Genomic DNA, 18,610 nt, shown 5'->3' with positions numbered 1-18,610 from the left:
CAGTCTCCTGAGTAGCTGAGATTACAGGCATGCTGCACTACCATGCCTGGGTAATTTTATTTTTAATTTTTTTTAGGGACAGGGGTCTCACTATGTTGCCCAGACTGGTCTCAAACTCCTTGCCTCAAGTGATTCTTCACCTCAGCCTCCTGAGTCTCTGGGATTACAGGCATGAGCCACTGCACCTGGCTCTATTTTCTGTATTTCTGATGCTTTGGTGTCTCGGAGCCTTGCTGACCCTGGAGAAACTGTCTGTCCCAGGGCTAGCCCATTCCTAGAGACAGTAAAGAACTCACCTGCAAGCGCACCTTTCATATGCAAACCAACCAATCCAAAGCCCAAACCTCCAACCAACTCCTTCATGGGGCTCTTACACTCTGGGCCAGCCTGTGCTAATTACCCCAGGTAAAAGCACCAGGTATCAGGTACCAGGCAACTAGAGAGACAGCCTCTACACCCAGAGTCTGCTGAGATCATTCAAACCAGCCAGCCCTAAGGCTGGTTTCCCGCCCTACCTGCTCCTTCTCACAGAAACAGCAGCAAATGCTCCTGCCACGTTTTCTTTCCGCTTCCTCTGCCTCCTGGCAGACCCTGCTGCTTCCCTGTGTGGCCTTTCATGGAGTGGCACGCCTGCTCCTCATCTATGAGTAATAAACTATCTTTTCAAAAGTAAGGAGGGCAGAACAAGTAGCACAGAGAATGGTGTGAGGAAGGTGATGTCCGGAAGACACTCGGCACAAGAACAGGAAGACCCAAAAGCTCTCAGCCTGGCCGTGGAGCAAAAGGCCAAACCCTACAAGATGAAATGCATCAGGTTTCATCCTGGAGTCTCAAAAAAAAAAAAAATCTTGCACAAGGATGTGGGGCCTGCAGGCTAGCAGCACCCGATGTGATAGACAAGAGAGCTTTAACTGATCATAAACCCAAGATAAGTCAACAGTGCAATGTGGCTGGTGGTACCCCCAGACCCCCCAAAAGAGTAGTATCATCTCAGGATGCAGAAAGAGAATTTTGTTGTCTAGGACAGTGTTTTTCAAGCGGCGGGTCATGACACATTTGCCAATTGTTAGTGAAATCAATTTGCAGAGTAAGAGCATTTTCCTTAAAGGGTTTCTTAAAGGAAATAGAATGGAAATGAACAGAAAAGAGGGCCACAAAAGAGAGGAGAATGTATCAGAGTGTGTGGTGAGCATAAGTAGAGGTAAGCATTAATGGCAGTTTGGTTTTGGTTGTGAGTGTGTGCTTGTTTGTGCAATGTGTGTGTGTTTGTGAGTTTGTGCTTGTTTGTGCAGTGTGTGTGTGTGTGTGTGTGTGTGTTACATAAAACCTAGATGGGCTGGAAGCCGAAAGGTTTGAAAACAGCTGATCTAGAATAAGGAAAGTGACAATCCTTCGCTCCTCGGCAACACAGGTGGATTCTCTTTCACTCTGGGCACCCTGCTTTATAAGGAAGCTACTCCAACTGGAGTGTTGTCTAGGAAGAGTTCCGGGTTGACATCAATGATGGCATACTCGGCCCTATCATGTGTTTGAGGTTGTGGGCTGTGGATTAAGGATTAGAAAGTAAATGGCTGAAGGAGTTGGGGCTGCCTCACTTGGGAATTAAAAGATTCTGGGACACCTATGAACCATCTTTGAATTAGTGGAAGGCTGTCAACATACCTGTACTGAGTTACCCAAGGGTGAAACCAGTGCCTGTAAAAGCTTCATGAAATTCATCAATATCTATGTCAGCAGCTCAACGTGCTTGGCTTCTTGGATCCCCTACCAACTCCTACTTGTCCACCTGCACCACTGCTCTTCCTCTGATTCTCAATTCACCCCTCCAGATCTTCCCGTCTCCAGCATCTCCAAGCTTGTATAAGGTCTAACGTGTACAGTAAATCCCTTATTCCATGATGCTTATAGTGACTCTGATTCCCTGAGCGATACACAGGCGTGGGCTAAGCACCCACAATGCTAAGGTGGGAAGTTGATTCTGCTTCCTCCCATGTACACAAACCACTTTGTTTCTGGAGTTTTCCAGTGTAACCTGAACACTCTGTGAGCATCTTTGCATTTTTAAGTGAGAACACTTTCTTAGGATACTGCTGTGAACTTGGTTTTATCCCTCTCTTTCTCTCAGCTTCTAGATGTTCCCTGGGCCACTCAAGGAGGCAGACCAGGGTAGTAGTTAAGGGTGCAGGTCCCGGATGATGCTAGAGTAGTGGTTAAGCGTGCATGTCCCAGATGTGCCAGGGTAGTGGTTAAGGGTGCATGTCCCGGTTGTGCCAGGGTAATAGTTAAGGGCACATGTCCTGGTTGTGCCAGGTTAGTGGTTAACGGTGCAGGTCCTGGATGTGCCAGGTTAGTGGTTAAGGTTGCAGGTCCTGGATGTGCCAGGGTAGTGGTTAAGGGTGCAGGTCCCGGGTGTGCCAGGGTAGTGGTTAAGGTGCAGGTCCCGGATGTGCCAGGGTAGTGGTTAAGGGTGCAGGTCCCGGATGTGCCAGGGTAGTGGTAAAGGGTGCAGGTCCCGGATGTGCCAGGGTAGTGGTAAAGGGTGCAGGTCCAGGGTGGGACAGGGTTGCCAGATTCACATAACCCATTCCCTGGTCCTAACACAGGGAGGTTTGGAGAGAAAGTCTTCTCCATCCACCTGCTTCTCACAACCTAGGAATTTATTCAGCCTCTTGGGCAGATCTTGGCCAGTGAAATCTGTCTTTCTGCAAAAAAAAAAAAAAAAAAAAAAAAAAAAAACAGGCCAATTTGAAGAAATGTTATCATCTTCAGCCTCACAGTCCAGCAAACACTGACTCTCATACTCCCAAAGGAGCAAAACAGGCTAGCAGGAAGTGTTGGGGAAAATGGAGTCATATGAAGCAAAGTCTCAGTTTCCTCACCATATAATGGAGAGAAGGACTACGGGTAATAGCAAAAGTTGTTAGGAGGATTACCTGAAGGAACGCTTGTAGAGTTCCTAGCAAAAGCCAGGCATTTGGAAGGGTTTTAGAAAAGGTGGCTGTGGCTGGGCACGGTGACTCACACCTGTAATCCCAGCACTTTGGGGGGCCGAGGTGGGCAGATCATTTGAGGTCAGGCAGCCTGACCAACATGGTGAAACCCTGTCTCTACTAAAAATACAAAAAAATTAGCTGGGCATGGTGGCGCATGCCTGTAGTCCCAGCTACTTGGAAGGCTGAGGCAGGAGAATCGCTGGAACCAGGGAGGCGGAGGTTGCAGTGAGCTGAGATTGTGCCACTGCACTCCAGCCTGGCGACAGAGTGAGACTCTGTTATAAAAAAAAAAAAAAGAAAGAAAAGAAAAGAAAGAAGTAAAAGTGGCTGCTACTAATATCATGTATCATCATCACTCCACTGATGTACTTAGTGCCAGGATAAGACGGTGTCCAAGAGCCTAATTATCTGGAATGGCATAGTTAGATTCAAGTCCCAGCTCCACATCTTCCTAGTTGTGTGGCTTGGGCAAGTTATTTAACCTCTTTCTCTGTGTCTCAGTTTCCCCATCTGTAAAATGGAGATGCCCTCAGTAACTCTCTCCCACCCAAGTAGCTGGGACTACAGGTTGTTGATAGGATTATACGACATGGCTGAGCAACGTGCTTCGCCCAGTGCCTGGTGGTTACTATCAGTAAGAGGTGTCCGTCCCTTGGTTTTGTTGGTAGTGGTAAAGCAGATGGAACCCAACCAGACAGCGAGGCTGCTCAGGAGCTGCGACTGCATCTTGCACAGGCTTTTGTGCCCCACGATGGCTAGCACTGTGCTGGGTTCACAGCAAGGGCTCAGTAAGCGTCAGCCACTGGCCCTCCTCCCTTCCCTCACCCTTCTAACTTATGCCTCTCCTGCCTTCTCCAGGGCTACCTGGAATGCCTCCAGCCCACTGCTCCCTCCCTTCTCTAAACTCTGATCACAAGAAAGATTCTGACCCCACAGTGCTGGGGCAACAGGCAAATGAAAAGCAGGTCTTCTCCAAGACCTTAAGGCTAAACTAGTCCCAACCTGTGCCCTAAAGCCACTGAAAGATAAGACTATGAGAACTACCAGTGCTGAAGCATCTCCTTCCTCTCCCCACTGGTATGGTGGGTGTTTCTTATGTTCCAATGTCTCATAGTCTTAAACTGTATCTTTCCAACATCTGACTTAATGTGTTAGAACCTGCCAGACAGATGGACCCAGGGTACAAATCCAGCCTCCTCCATGCACTGCCTTAGGGACTAGAGGCGGGTGCTCAAATTCTTTTTTTTTTTTTTAGAAGGAGAGACAGGGTCTCGCTCTGTCGCCCAGCCTAGAGTGCAGTAGCGAGATCATAGCTCACCGCAGCCACCAACTCCTGGGCTCAAGTCATCTTCCCGCCTCAGCCTCCCAAGTAGCTGGGACTACAGGTGCATGCCTCCATGTCCAGCTAATTTGTATTTTATTTTATTTTATTTTATTTATTTATTTTTTGAGATGGAGTCTCACTCTGTCACCCAGGCTGGAGTGCGGTGGCACAATCTCAGCTCACTGCAACTTCTGCCTCCCGGGTTCAAGCGATTCTCCTGCCTCAGCCTCCTGAGCAGTTGGGACTGCAGACACGCACCACCACGCCCAGCTAATTTTTTTTTTGTATTTTTAGTAGAGATGAGGTTTCACTATGTTGACCAGGCTGGTCTCGAACGCCTGACCTTGTGATCCACCCACCTCAGACTCCCCAAGTGCTGGGATTACAGGCATGAGCCACCGCACCCTGCCTACCCAGCTAATTTTTAAGACTTTTTTTCTCACTGTGTTGCTGAGGCTGGTCTCAAACTTGTGGCCTCAACTGATGATCCTGCTTCAGCCTCCTGAGTAACTGGGACCATAGCCACATGCTACCACACCAGGCTCAGATTTTTCAAGGCTCTGTTTTCTCCTTTGTAAAATGAGAAAAACAAAATGACTGCCCCCACTGGGTGGTTTTGGGGCCTAAACACACTGACCTTGCATGATGTCCTTCAGATACTCCTGGGATCTAAATTTCCATGCACTTAGAAAGAAACCAAGCCCACCATGGGGCTCACAAAGCCTAACTGGCTGTCCCTGCCTTTCCTCCAGCGTCACCCACCCCTCCCCATCCCGAGGCTCCAGTCACACCCACTGGCTGTCAGTTCCTGTCACTCACAAGCCTGCTGCTTCACTCTTCCCTCTGGCCTCTGCCTCTGCCGCTCCCTCTGCCTGGTATACTCTTCCCTGGAATTTTCAGCAAGCTGGCTCCCTCCTGCTGGTCCCTGAGGTCTCAACTAAATGCCATTATCCCTGCTAATCACACTCAGCCCACTGGCCACCCTCTATCACATCATGCCGCTTTATTTTATTTCCTTGATAGTGTTCCTTGTTTTCTCAAAGTGTTTTGTTTGCTTCCTCTTCATCTCCCATCATTAGAAAGAAGGCAGAGGCCATGAGCACAGGGGCCTTGCCTGTAAGCAGTGCCCAGCACATGGGAGGCCCCCAACAAATACTTGTTGGAGGAGTGGGAAAGGCAGGATTCAAACCCAGGCCTGACTCCAAAGCCCATGCAAAACCTTTGTAATCATAGACCACATTGGCCTAAAATTAGCAGAGACGTGCAGCAAGCCATCCAGAAAAGCAACACAGAGGCTAATGACTAGGAAGCTCCCCAGAGACATGCCTTCACCTTCCAGGTGGTAGAGGACAAAGGCAAAGCAGGGAAGAAAGAAAGGCTCTGGGTCACTTTACACAAATGGCTCAAGCCAGAAGCTCATGCTGCACCAGGCCAGGACATGCAGGTAGGTGCAGGTCACCAATGAAAGAGGATTCCAGCCCTGGCGGGACTGACACCCGAGCTTCATGACTGGTAAGATGCCATGGCCAACGCGGGGCTGGAGGTTCACATCACCCCTGGCACATCCACCTGTGGTGGTCTGCGCAGGAGCCAAGCGCAGGTAAGGCCTGCCATCTAGTGGAAAAGACACATTCTTCCCGTCTCACTGCGATCCTCTGCAGCAGGGCTGCTCGAATGTTACAGTGCATCCCCAGGGGATGTTGTTAAATTGCAGATTCTGATTCAGCAGGCCTGGAGGGGAAGCTGAGATCCCGAATTGCTAACGAGCTCCCAGGTAATGCCGATGGGATGCAGCTGGTCCCCAGACCACACCCAGAGCAGCCAGGGCCCACAGTGATTTCTGGAAAAAAAAATTAGCTTCAACTGAAACTGAGGGTTGGGAAGCCACAGCCCATGGGAAACAGGATTGAAGTTTAAGTCAAAGAACTCAGACTTGGAGGTGGGGTGGGCCTGGGAGGGCAGGGGGCAGTTTAGCGTAGACCTGCCAGGCGAGAGGCACAGAGAAGAGGAGGTGGTTCCCAGAACATATGCGACTCAGCAAGGATGATGCCAGCGACCTTGCTGAAAGAAGGCAAAAAACATCAAACACCATGAAACTCGGAGAACAGGCCCAGCTCACAAGGCAGATGCTACACAAGATGGAAGCTAGTGACAATAAAAACTCAAAAATACCCAGACAGGGCCTGGGCCCAGCTCTGCTCAAGCTGAGAACCACCCAACAACCCTCCTCAAGCAACCAACACCCCATCATTTGGGGCATTATCCATTCATTTTTTTTTTCTGCTATTGTTGTTGAGACAATTTATTTCTGTTCATTTTTCCTATTTGGAGATTTTTCTGTTTTTATTTTTCAAAAATTGCGGAAATGATATGTATTGCAATCAACCTGTGAAACGTAATGAAAACTACAGAGACACAACACAATCCCCCTCACCGCCACAGCCTCTTCACTCCCAATCCTGCTGCGATCCCAGTGTTTACAACCTGGTTGGTATCCTTCCACACCTTTCTTCACACACAGGTTATAAAATATACAGACAAAACTTCACACATAGGAGGTGTCTGTTGCTGTTGCTTATTTCTTCAAAATGAGATCATACTAAATATATTTTTACGCAACCTAACCCTTTCACTTAACCATAGATGTTCCTCTAGTTCAAGGACTGCCAAATGTTTTCAGTAAAGGCCAGAGAACAAATATTTTACATTTTGCAGATTGTACAAGCTTTGTCACAACTACGCAGTGAACTCTGCCATTGTATCACAAGAGCAGCCATAGATAATATATAAATGAATGGATGTGGCTGTGTTCCAATAAAACTTTATTTATAAAAACAGGCAGCAGGCCAGTTTGGCAACCTCTGCTTTACACCAATATCTGTAGCTCTAACCCATTGGTGTTTTGTTTTTAGTTATTTAGAATTTTTATCACAAACTTTTAAATAATAAAAGTATAGGAAGTATAATATACCTATAGAAAAGTGTATAAATCATAATCTTACAGCTTGAATTCTCACAAAGGAAATTCACCTGTGTAACCAGTTCCCATGTCAAAAATTATACTCATTTTCTCATTTTAATTCAGTCTTTTCTTTTCTTTTTTTTGAGACAGAGTCTTACTCTATCACCCAGGCTGTAGTGCATGAATGACCTGATCTCTGTTCACTGCAAACTCCACCTGCAGGGTTCAAGTGATTCTCGTGTCTCACCCTCCAGAGCAGGTGGGATTACAGGCATGCACCACCATACCCAGCTAATTTTTTGGATTTTTTTTAGTAGAGACGGGGTTTCACCATGTTGGCCAGACTGGTTTGGAACTCCTGGCCTCAAGTGATCCACCCTCCTCAGCCTCCCAAAGTGCTGGGATTACAGGTGTGAGCCACCGCGCCTGGCCTAATTCAATGCTTTCAACAACTACCTAGTATCACATAAAATGGGTACCCCTTCATTAGGCTGATGTTTTCTTTGCATCTCAAAGAAAACATCAATAAACATGCTTGTTCTAGATTTTATTTCTTTGCACGCTGGTGTTTCATTTTAAGAGAATAGATTCCCTAAAGGAAAACGTGAGAGTCAAAATGTTCATATGTATACATATTTTAATAGACATTGCTGGACCACTGTCCCCAAAGGCAGTCACAAGTCACAGCCCTGCAGGTCCCAGCAGTGCCCACTTCAATGCAATTCCCTAGACATTTGGGAGCAATGACCGCGCCCAGCACATCCTGAAGGCCTCAGACGCTGGCCTGGCCTTGATAATTCTCATGAGACTTAAATGACCAGGGAAGAAGAGAAGGAACACTGAATAGCAAGACGTCAGCTTCCCTACATCTCCTTAGGTCCAGTATCCCAAAACTTCAGTGCCTGAGACACTCACCTCAACCTAACAAGCTGATAGGCTTTGAAGGAAGGATGGGCAAGAGACCCTTCCCCTGGCCTCATGGGGTGTGCAGACAACTATCAGTAATACACTGAGAAAGATGATAGATGTTCCATAGACAGATATGATTTAACTGAACTTCTTCATTACAACAATACTAAAAAAAAAGCAAAATAAAGCAGGTGTATTGAGTTTTTAAAGGCATTTTGCTCTTCAATGAATACATAACAAAAAATTGTAAACAAGAATTTCCAATTTTCAAAGTTTCTACTTTACTGCATTATAACTCCTCAAAAAACAAACAAAAAAAATTGAACAACTATTAAGTTTCATGTCATCTAAGGGATTTTAGGTATAATAGACATCCCAATAGCCAGAGCTCATGAGTATGAGTGCAGTGTGTGGGGACATAAAGGCATTTCTCTGGTTCATACCTTCCCTTGGATCCTCAACAGCAGCTGTGACATCAAAAAAGAGAATTAATTTGATAAGGGTTAGAATGACAGTCATATGCATTTGTCAAAACTCAGCCATTGTACACTTAAGACATCACCGGGCACAGTGGCTCACATCTATAATCCCAGCGCTTTGGGAGGCCAAAGTGGGAGGATTGCTTGAACCATGGAGTTCAAGACCAGCCTAGGCAACATGGCAAAACCCCATCTCTACAAAACTACAAAAATTAGCTGAGTGTGGTGGCTCATGCCTGTAGTCCCAGCTACTTTGTAGGCTGAGGTGGGAGAATCAATTGAGCCTGGGAGGTCGAGGCTGCAGTAAGCCGTGATTACGCCACTACACTCCAGCTTGGGTGACAAAGTGAGACTGTCTCAAAAAAAAAAAAAATTTTGTATGTATCATTGTATGTACATTTCACCTCAAAAGTTAAAAAAAAAAAAGAAACCCTACAAGTAAATTTTGAATTCTATTGATGTTGGGCATGCTGAAGTGTTTGGGGGAAATCGAATTGGTGTCTGCAGTTTACTTTGAAATGTGTCAAAAATAAGACAGATTGATGGATGGAGAGCGAGATAGTTGGAAATGTGATTAAGCAAGTGTGGAAACGTTAACGACAGAATATAGGTGGTGGATAAATGAGTGTTTGCTGTAAAATTCTTTCAACTTAGTTCAAAATAAAGACTTGGGAAAAAATTACAAACCAATAATGTAAAAGGGAAGGGAGATCTACCAGAACTGGGCCCTATCTGTGTGTGACCTGAAGAAGTAACCTTTCTCTGGACCTCAGTGAGCGTAGCTGGTCTCTGCTGCACCTTCCATTATGAGCAATGACAGTACTGTGGTTTCACAAATTGGGGCATCTCCTGAGAGAGCCTCCGAGGAGGAATGGCTTTGAAGGCAGAGACTGCCCCCTAGTGGGCCCTCGCGGCCTAGTTTATAATAATTTTCTGTCTGCAATTGACGCATGGCTGGGCAATATTACACAAACCCCCATGACACAAGTTTACCTATATAACAAACCTGCACACGTACCCCCCCACCAAAGTTCAAATAAAAGTTAAACAAAAATAAATATTAAGCTATCTGGATTTTTTTTTCTTGTTTACATTGCCCTTTTTCTTCCCAATTCTTTTTTTTTTTTTTTTCCAAGATGGAGTCTCACTCTGTTACCCAGGCTGGAGTGCTGTGATGCAATCTCAGCTCACTGCAACCTCTGCCTCCTGGGTCCAAGCGATTCTCCTGTCTCAGCCTCCTGAGTAGCTGGGATTACAGGCATCCACCACCACACCTGGCTAATTTTTGTATTTTTAGTAGAGACAGGGTTTTGTCACGTTGGTCTTGAACTCCTGACTGTAGGTGATACAGCCGCCTCAGCCTCCCAAAATGCTGGGATTACCGACGTGAGCCACCACACTCAGCCTCTTTGGTACTCTTTTTCTTTTGATGTGTGGATGTCAGATCTTAAGAAGGATTTAAATATCACAATATTGGGAGTACCTAAGGCTGTCAGGGAGATGTTTCAGTCTAAAAAGTTTCTGTATAACACAATATAATGGTAAGAATATAGAATGGGAGTTCCAAAGAGAAACATTTAAAAAAAAAAAGGTTCTTTCTGCTTTCTTTAAGAACACTCCCAACTTTTGGGAGATAGATATGAGGATGGACATGGCTAAGCATTTGGAGGTGGCTGTAATGTAGATGGGAGTATAAATAATAGATGTCAGTTGTTATGTTGATAGGTAGATACTGAATTGAAAAAGCATTGAATAAGATATTGTTAGCTGGGTGCGGTGGCTCACGCCTGTAATCCCAGCCCTTTGGGAGGCTGAGGTGGGCAAATCATGAGGTCAGGAGATCGAGACCATCCTGGCTAACACAGTGAAACTCCATCTCTACCAAAAATACAAAAAAAAATTAGCCGGCCATGGTGGCATGCGCCTGTAGTCGCAGCTACTCGGGAGGCTGAGGCAGGAGAATGGCTTGAACCTGGGAGGGGGAGGTTGCAGTGAGCTGAGATTGCACCACTGCACTCCAGCCTGGGTGACAGCAAGACTCTGTCACACACACACAAAAAAAATTATTGTTGCATGTATGAACACGCAGGCTTCACAAACCTTGGGAGCATTTTACAACTCTGATCTGGACATTGTATTGCCTGATCTCATGACACCTATGGGCATCATGATGTCAATACGGTTTCCTGGGATACTACAAATCCCACTGCTCCATGTCTTTTCTACATTGTCCAGGGAACAAGGGTGGTCATGACTCCAACAAGCGGGTCTCAGTCCCAGTAACATTTGCTGTTGACGTTGGACCTGGTACTTAAGATTTTCTGCATGTTCTACCTCCCATGAGAATAATGGTATAAATTGGACAATCCGTTGACCTTCATTTCCTGACTTTAGGAGGCACTGATCTGGGGACCATCAGTGAAAGCCTTATATCTATCTATCAGGATCCTCCAGGGGTTTCTCATTCATACATACAGCCATTGAGCCCATAAATATTTAGTGATGCCCACCTTGCTAGGTGCTGGGAGTAGAGTGGCAAGACACAGTCCCGCCCTCATGGAGCTAATGCCTTGTGATGAGATGCAGACATTAATCAAATCCAACATAAAATCACCCCTTTCACAAGGCCAAGCTCAGGTTACCATGAGTGTCTACGAAAGGGGGAAGTTGGAGGAAGCTTATTAGATGGTAAAAATGAACCGAGATCGAGAGGAAGAGTTAATTGCTAGAAAAAGAGAAGATGGCAATGGCAAACATTCTAAACAGAACGCACAGATGTCTTATGGTGTGTGGCAGTCTGCAGAGGACCAAGGATTAAAAGAAAGGGGGAGGAGACAGTGAATAAAGAATGAGATCGCCATGTTAGATTTAGTCTGTTATAAAGACAATGGGAAACCATTGATGGGTTTTTAAAAGGAGGAGAACTGATCAGATTTATTCTCATCTTGACCTGCCAAAACACTAAGAACAGATATATGAGCTCAATTTCAGTAGCCAGGCAAGTTAGAAAACCTTTGACCTCTAGAGATGCTGAGATTTCCAAAGAACATATGACACTCAGGGCAAACGGCAGTGTCCTGGGCTGATGGTCAGTGGAAAATCCTAATACTGACCATGCTTCTTGGGTCTGGATGAGGTGGGGCCATTCCACAAACACCACAAGGCCACTTCTGGCCTGGCACTGCTGGGAAGGACCCCGCACAACCTTTAGTGCTCGCTCCTCTCTGATCTGTCTTGCCAAGACCAAGGAGGAGGGGGCTGGAGTCCCAGCAATGAAACCAGGAAGACAGTCAGGAGACCAAGGGAAACTTGAGTGTGCCAGATGCTGTTGGACCCTGCCCAGCTCCCCTCCATGCTGGCCAATGCACCCATCCCCTGGGTGCTGTGTATGATGGCTGTTAATGGCTCACAGTTACCCCTATGTCCAGATAACTGTCCTCAACTGCACAGAAGCCTCCTCACCTGGGAAGTTACTCTACCTTCCCACCTCCATCCCCAGCAGCCTACAGCAGTAACTGACTATATCAGCCAGCTCAGGCTGTCATAACAGAATACCATGGACTGGGTGGCTTAAACAACAGACATTTAGGCCGGCACAGTGGCTCACGCCTGTAATCCCAACACTTTGGGAGGCCAAGGCGGGCGGATCACTTGAGGTCAGGAGATTGAGACCATCCTGGCTAACATGGTGAAACTCCGTCTCTACTAAAAATAAAAAAAATCAGCTGGGCATGGTGGCACGTGCCTGTAATCCTAGCCACTCGGGAGGCTGAGACCGGAGAATCGCTTGAACATGAGAGGCAGAGGTTGCAGTGAGCAGAGATCATGCCACTGCACTCCAGCCTGGGTGACAGAGCAAGACTCCATCTAAAACAAAATAAAAAGAAAAAAAGAAAAAAAGACATTTATTTCTTCACAGTTCTGGGGGCTGGGAAGTCCAAGATCGAGGTACCAGCAGCTTCAATTCCTGGTAAGGACTCACTTCCTGGCTTGCAGACGGCCACCTTCTTGCTGTATCCTTCCTTTGGTGGAGACAGAATGATCTCTCTTTCTTCTTCCTCTTAGAAATCCACAAATCCCATTATGAGGGCCCCACCCTCACAACCTCATCTAACCCTAATTACCACCCAAAGGTCCCATAGCTCCAAATACCACCACACTGGGGGTGAGGCTTTAAGATACAAATCTGGGGGAGACACAAGTCATCCCACAGCACTGACTGACCTGGAACACGACAGAACAGCCCCCTTGCCTCAAGATGGGACTGACTGTGCTACAGTGTTTGGTACAAAATTCCACCAGATACCAGGCTGAAGAAGACTTCCACGGAGACCACACTCTCGCCAAGCTTTTTCCCTGCCTGAGGAAGGAAGCATGGTTCCTTCACTTCTCTTTTCCCATGAGCAGCCCAATAAATCACTGGAACAAAATCCCCATCTTGGCTCTATTTTTAGAGAACTCGGCCACAGCATCAGGGCTCTCTTCTATCATCCATCAATCAACAAGCCCATGCTGAGTACAGGCTGTGCCCAGCATGGTGTATGGGCAATTGCAGGGCATTGTGACATGGGGCCAGAGGCCCAGGTGCTCACCCCTGCTCAGCATGTGACATTGGTCAGGGTGTTCAGCCTTGCTGAGACTTCGTTTTCCCTTCCATGATGGCAACAACGTGCCCTTTCCCGAATGGTGTGATATCAAAGTATTTGGAAAAGCACAAAGTGCTATTAAACTTCTTTATACATTTGCCTGCTCTGAACATCCCAAAGAAATGAAATCCTACAATATGCCAGGGTCTCACTATGTTGGCCAGGCTGGTCTTGAACGCCTAGTCTCAAGCAATCCTCCTGTCTTAGCCTCCCAAAGTGCTGGGATTACAGGTGTGAGCCACCACACCTGGCCTTTTTTGTTTGTTTGTTTTTCTTGTTTTTGTTTTATGAGACGGAGTCTTGCTCTGTCACCCAGGCTGGAGTGCAGTGGTGCAATCTCAGCTCACTGCAACCTCCACCTCCCAGGCTCAAGTGATCCTCCTGCCTCAGCCTCCCAAGTAGCTGGGATTACAGTCGTGCACCACCACACTTGGCTAATTTTTTGTATTTTTAGTAGAGATGATGTTTCGACATGTTGCCCAGGCTGACTCCTGAGTTCAAGTGATCCACCCACCTCGGTCTTCCAAAGCGCTGGGATTATAGGCATGAGCCACTGTGCCTGGCCTATTGTTTTTTTCTTTTTCTTTTCGTTTCTTTTTTTTTTTTTTTAAACGTCTTGTCTTAAGCCACCCAGTTTGTGGTATTTTGTTATGGCAGCCACAGCAAATGGATACACCTCCTATCAGTGTGTCCTGAGAAGCGGGGGCTTGTGATCCAGGTTCTCAAAGTTCACAGCATATCTATGATTAAGGGGGAAGACTTTGACCTTGAACTTGAAGAAATATTGTACTGTACCACATCAGAACAAAGACTCCCTAAGGAATGCCCATAGGAGGTGCCCTAGCCAAACCACAAAAGGAATAAATACGGTGGAGGGCATAGAGAAACGAAACGAAACTAAACTAAACAAAAAAGTAACCTACTATATAGTACTTTTGAGTCAAACAGACCTAGGTGAGGAAATGTGTTTTCTGATGGGTAGAATGATAACTTAACTCATTTGAGTTGTTGAAACAATGTAAATCAGATACTGCCTGTAAGTGCTTTTCACAATGATTAACACATTTTAAAAACTAAACACATCTTAGCTATTGTTTTATTATTATTGCAAATGGTGTGAGCTCTTGGAATATAACTTCTCTGAGCCGTGGCTTCTTTGTTCATAAAACAAGAATAATAGAAGGTTGGGCGCAGTGGCTCACACCTGTAATCCCAGCACTTTGGGAGGCCGAGATGGGCGGATCACTTGAGGTCAGGAGTTCTAGACCAGCCTGGCCAACGTGGTGAAACCCTGTCTCTACTAAAAATACAAATATTAGCCAGGCGTGGTGGTGGGCGCCTGTAATCCCAGCTACTCAGGAGGCTGAGGCAGGAGAATCGCTTGAACCCGGGAGGTGGAGGTTCCAGTGAGCTAAGATGGCGCCACCACACTCCAGCCTGGGCAACAGATGGAGTCTCCCTCTCAAACAAGAATAATAGAGATTTCACAATGTTGTGAAGGTGGAAAGAGATAACACGTAAGGTTTAGAGCACTGCACATCCCATGCGGCCCATAAATGTTGGCTGCCCGCAGTCATGCTTTGGAACGAGTGTATTTCCCACAGAATGACACCAGAGGGAAGCAGAGTCTCATATTTGTCTCACCAGCATCGGGAACCTCAATCAGTGGGGAAAACTGGCTTCCCTTGAACCTGAAACTGCGGGATTTCCCCTGGGGCCCCCAAGCATCACACTGGGAGGCAGGCGACCACTTGGAGGAAAACATAATGCAATGGATTGCACATTTTCTAAAATCTCACTGGGCTTCACGAAATCTCAAGTTTAAAAGAATTATATTGTACAGGGATAAGTATTTTTCAGCTTTTACACAATCTACGTAAAGCCCCTCCGCAACCCAGGGCTCAATGCATCAGAGCTACTGAACCAGTCTGAGGCCTCAGAAACACTAATTTTTGCAAAATTAATCTCTTCCATGATCAATTTCCTGAGTTACCAACTCATAAACCCTTATTTATATTCATTAGATATATAAAGTCCACAGTAGTTTGTCACTAGCCTTTGAGAAGAAATTCCTGCAAAGTTTTAGCTCCACTCCCAGCCAGCTCAGTGCTGGTTATACCGGGGCTTATGGCTGAGTATTCCTCAAGCCAGTGCTGCTGAGTTCCAATTTTGCTTGAACTTCCCATATCAGAGCCAGGTATGTCTTGAATGCTGGGATACATGAGTGACAGCCCCACCACCACCACCACCACCACCACCAGCAGCTCCTCCTCTCACTGCATCTCCCAGGAGACTGTACCATCCTGCTTTCTAATTATCATGAAATATTTTAGACATGCAGAAAATATAGAGAATAATAAAATTACAGCATAGCCACCATCAGGTTCAAGAAAGAAATATTTCAAATATGTGGAAAGCCCCTGAATTGCACCCTCCAACCCTCCTCCTTCCCAAGATATTATATTCTCCAAATCTGGGGTTTATCATCAAGACTCCATTTTTCCTGCTGGAAAAGTTTGCGGAAGAAGCAAGCTTCCCTTCTCTGCTATCTGAGTAAAGGAAATGCAACTACCCATCCCAAAAGATTACTAAAAAAGAGTGGGAAATGAGAAGGAGAGAAGGGAAGTGGAGGATCCTGAGGAAGTTAGAAGTCCAAGGAACTCAGACGTCTCCTCTCTGAACCCAAGTCAGCCTGGGGTGCTGATGGACGAAGCTTTGAGGGTGTACAGTTTCTAAAGATCCCCCTGCTGCAGGGAGGGGCTGTCATGGGCAGGGCATGGGGCAGAAGCAGTGCCACACCCCCTCCCCGTCCCTGGACTGCCCCACCCCTCCACTGGACTGCCCCACCCCTCCGCCACCCTCCCCTTCTCAATCACACAGGTCAAGCAAGGTCAGGAGCCAGTGGAGCCCCAGGGCCACCTACCGAGGACAATGAGGACGTCCCTGTCGATGTGGGCCTGGATGTAGATGCGGCCGCGGCGCTCCGTGTGGTCCGTGCCACACAGGCTGGGAACATTCATCACGCAGCGCTTGTGCACATTCATCATGCAGGCTGTGAGGGCAGAGAGAGGGGATGTGGCTTAGGCTGGCCCAGGCTGGGGGCTGCAGACATCTGCCCCACCCAAGACCGCTGAGCCCTTCCTGTTTCCCTCCTTTGAGACAGCTGAGACACACGAGCCTGGCTGAGACCAACTTGCCTGCCAGGATCTCATCAGAAGGGCTTTTCCAACTCTTCCCCCTGAACCCTGATGGGCAAAGGAGGTAGAACTTGTCTGTTCCCCACCCACAGCCAAGGGTGCAGTCTGAAGCAAGCACACCCCACACCCCTTAAGGCTCTGAAGCCAGAGTCACCAACTTCAATGCTCACAGGCTGGCTGGTCACATGAGTGAGGAAAGCTAAGGGGGTGGCAGGGACTTGGCCAAGCCAAGTGGGAAACAGAGCAAAAACATTCCCCATTTCTCAACGTATGCAGGAATCTCGATGTGTACGTGACAGCTCTGATTTTTAAATATTAACAGCTAATAGGTTGGGCTCCCTGGAAAGAGTCTGAGACGGGGAGTTTTGAGCACAAGGTTTTTGGGGAGTGCTCTTGTGGGGAGAAGTTCGTTTGCCACGTGGATGCAATCAAAGCTGATGTTAGGGGGAGCCCAGAGCTGAGATGACCCTTCAGAGTTGTTCCAAACTGAGACAAGAGGGCTGGGCACCACAATCATCTGGTCTCCCTGGAAGAGGCATTATCTTGGGCAATTATGCAGGATGGGGCACTGCTGTGAACCACAGCTAGGGGATGGGGTGGGACCATGAAGAGGGGGTCTGGGCTGGCCATAGTGTCCACCATAATTAATTACAAGGAAAAAGATTTAGAGCCAGGGCAGGGTGGATAAAATGTGCCTATACACTGAATTTGGCCTTCGGCCATCTCTCATGTTATAGGATATCCACTCCCTCTGCGCACTCCTCCGTAGAGTATCTGTGTCTATTTCAATGTGGTGGGTGATTTCTTCTAGGTCTTGAGCAATAATGCCCCACTCCAGGAAGGTGTGCCAGGCACCCAGGATTCTCCAGGGGGACGCTAGTTCCAGTTGGAGAAGCCAGAAGGAGAGGCCAAGTCACCCCATGGGCCCCTATTTCAAGGGATCTGGGGGCAAGGGACCCTTCTCAGACCACCCAAGTCCCAGGAGGCAGCAGGCCTATTACAAAAACTAGAAATGAGTTGTGGGGAGGGAAGGGAGAGCCCTCTGGGACCTGAGCACCAGCCTGAGCTCCCACCCACCACTGTCTCTGAGGCAGGGACATTGTCCCTATATTAGGGCCCCATGTGTGGTAAGAGGAGCTGGTGTCCTGCAGGCAGAAGGCTCCAACCTCACTGTCCCCCTGTGGCTCTTGCCATGTTTCTGTGTCTGTCTCTCTGTTTCCACGTTGCTGCATGTCTCTTGTCTCTGCTGTCCCACTTCTGCACGTGGCTCACTGCCTTGGCCGTGTCTGTGAATCGGTCTGTTCCACTCTCTGCACTTGTCTCTGGCCTCTTTGTCTCTCCCTTTCTCCAACTGTGTCTCTCTGCCTCTCTCCTCCGTGTCTCTCTGTGGCTCTCCATGTGTGCTTCTGTCTCTGTCTCTGGTCTTTCCATCTCTATACCTCTGCATGAGCCTGTGTAATGGCGTCTCTCTCTGTGTCCATGCCAATCATTTTATCTTTTCTTCTTCTTCTTCTTTGAGAGTCTCACTCTGTCACCCAGGCTGGAGTGCAGTAGTGTGATCTCAGCTCACTGCAACCTCTGCTTCCTGGGTTCAAGTGATTTTCCTGCCTCAGCCTCCCAAGTAGCTGGGATTACAAGTACCCACCACCTTGACTGGCTAATTTTTGTATTTTTAGTAGAGATTGGGTTTTGCCACGTTGGCCAAGCTGGTCTCAAACTCCTGACCTTAGGTGATCCACCCGCCTCAGCCTCCCAAAGTGTTGGGATTACAGGAGTGAACCACTGCACCTGGCTTATCTGTTGGTCTGTGTGTCTGCCTGTCCCTCCTTTTGCCTGAGTCTCTCTCTAGCTGAGTCTCTCTGTAGCTTCCACGCCCCACATTCCTCCCTGTGTTAGGGTTGCATGTGTCCATCTTTCCCCTGCATCTGTGTCTGTCTATGCATGTGTGTTTCTTGCTGTCTGTCTTGCTCCCTACCACCCTTATTCACCCTCACAGTCCTCTCTGTCACTCTCTGCCCTATGACTTTCTCCCTCTGTCCTCTGGGCCTCAGGACCCTTGGGAGAGCAGTACCACTAGCCTCATGACACCCAGCCTGCTGC

At 47.4% G+C, this 18,610-nt stretch overlaps 1 protein-coding gene across 3 annotated transcripts in view; it reads right to left on the bottom strand.

The window, feature by feature from the left end:
- The window catches only part of PRKCB (protein kinase C beta), a 384,629-nt gene that overhangs the window by 168,828 nt on the left and 197,191 nt on the right, over positions 1-18,610 (bottom strand). For all 3 annotated transcript variants that reach the window (NM_002738.7, NM_212535.3, XM_047434365.1), the window contains one exon: positions 16,237-16,365. In NM_002738.7, coding sequence (NP_002729.2) covers positions 16,237-16,365 — 129 coding nt within the window. The remainder of the gene's footprint in view (positions 1-16,236; positions 16,366-18,610) is intronic.

Source organism: Homo sapiens, chromosome 16, assembly GCF_000001405.40.
Source record: "Homo sapiens chromosome 16, GRCh38.p14 Primary Assembly".
Lineage (NCBI taxonomy): Eukaryota > Metazoa > Chordata > Mammalia > Primates > Hominidae > Homo > Homo sapiens.
Note: the sequence above shows the minus strand (reverse complement) of the source record. Positions and strands in the feature narration are given on the sequence as shown.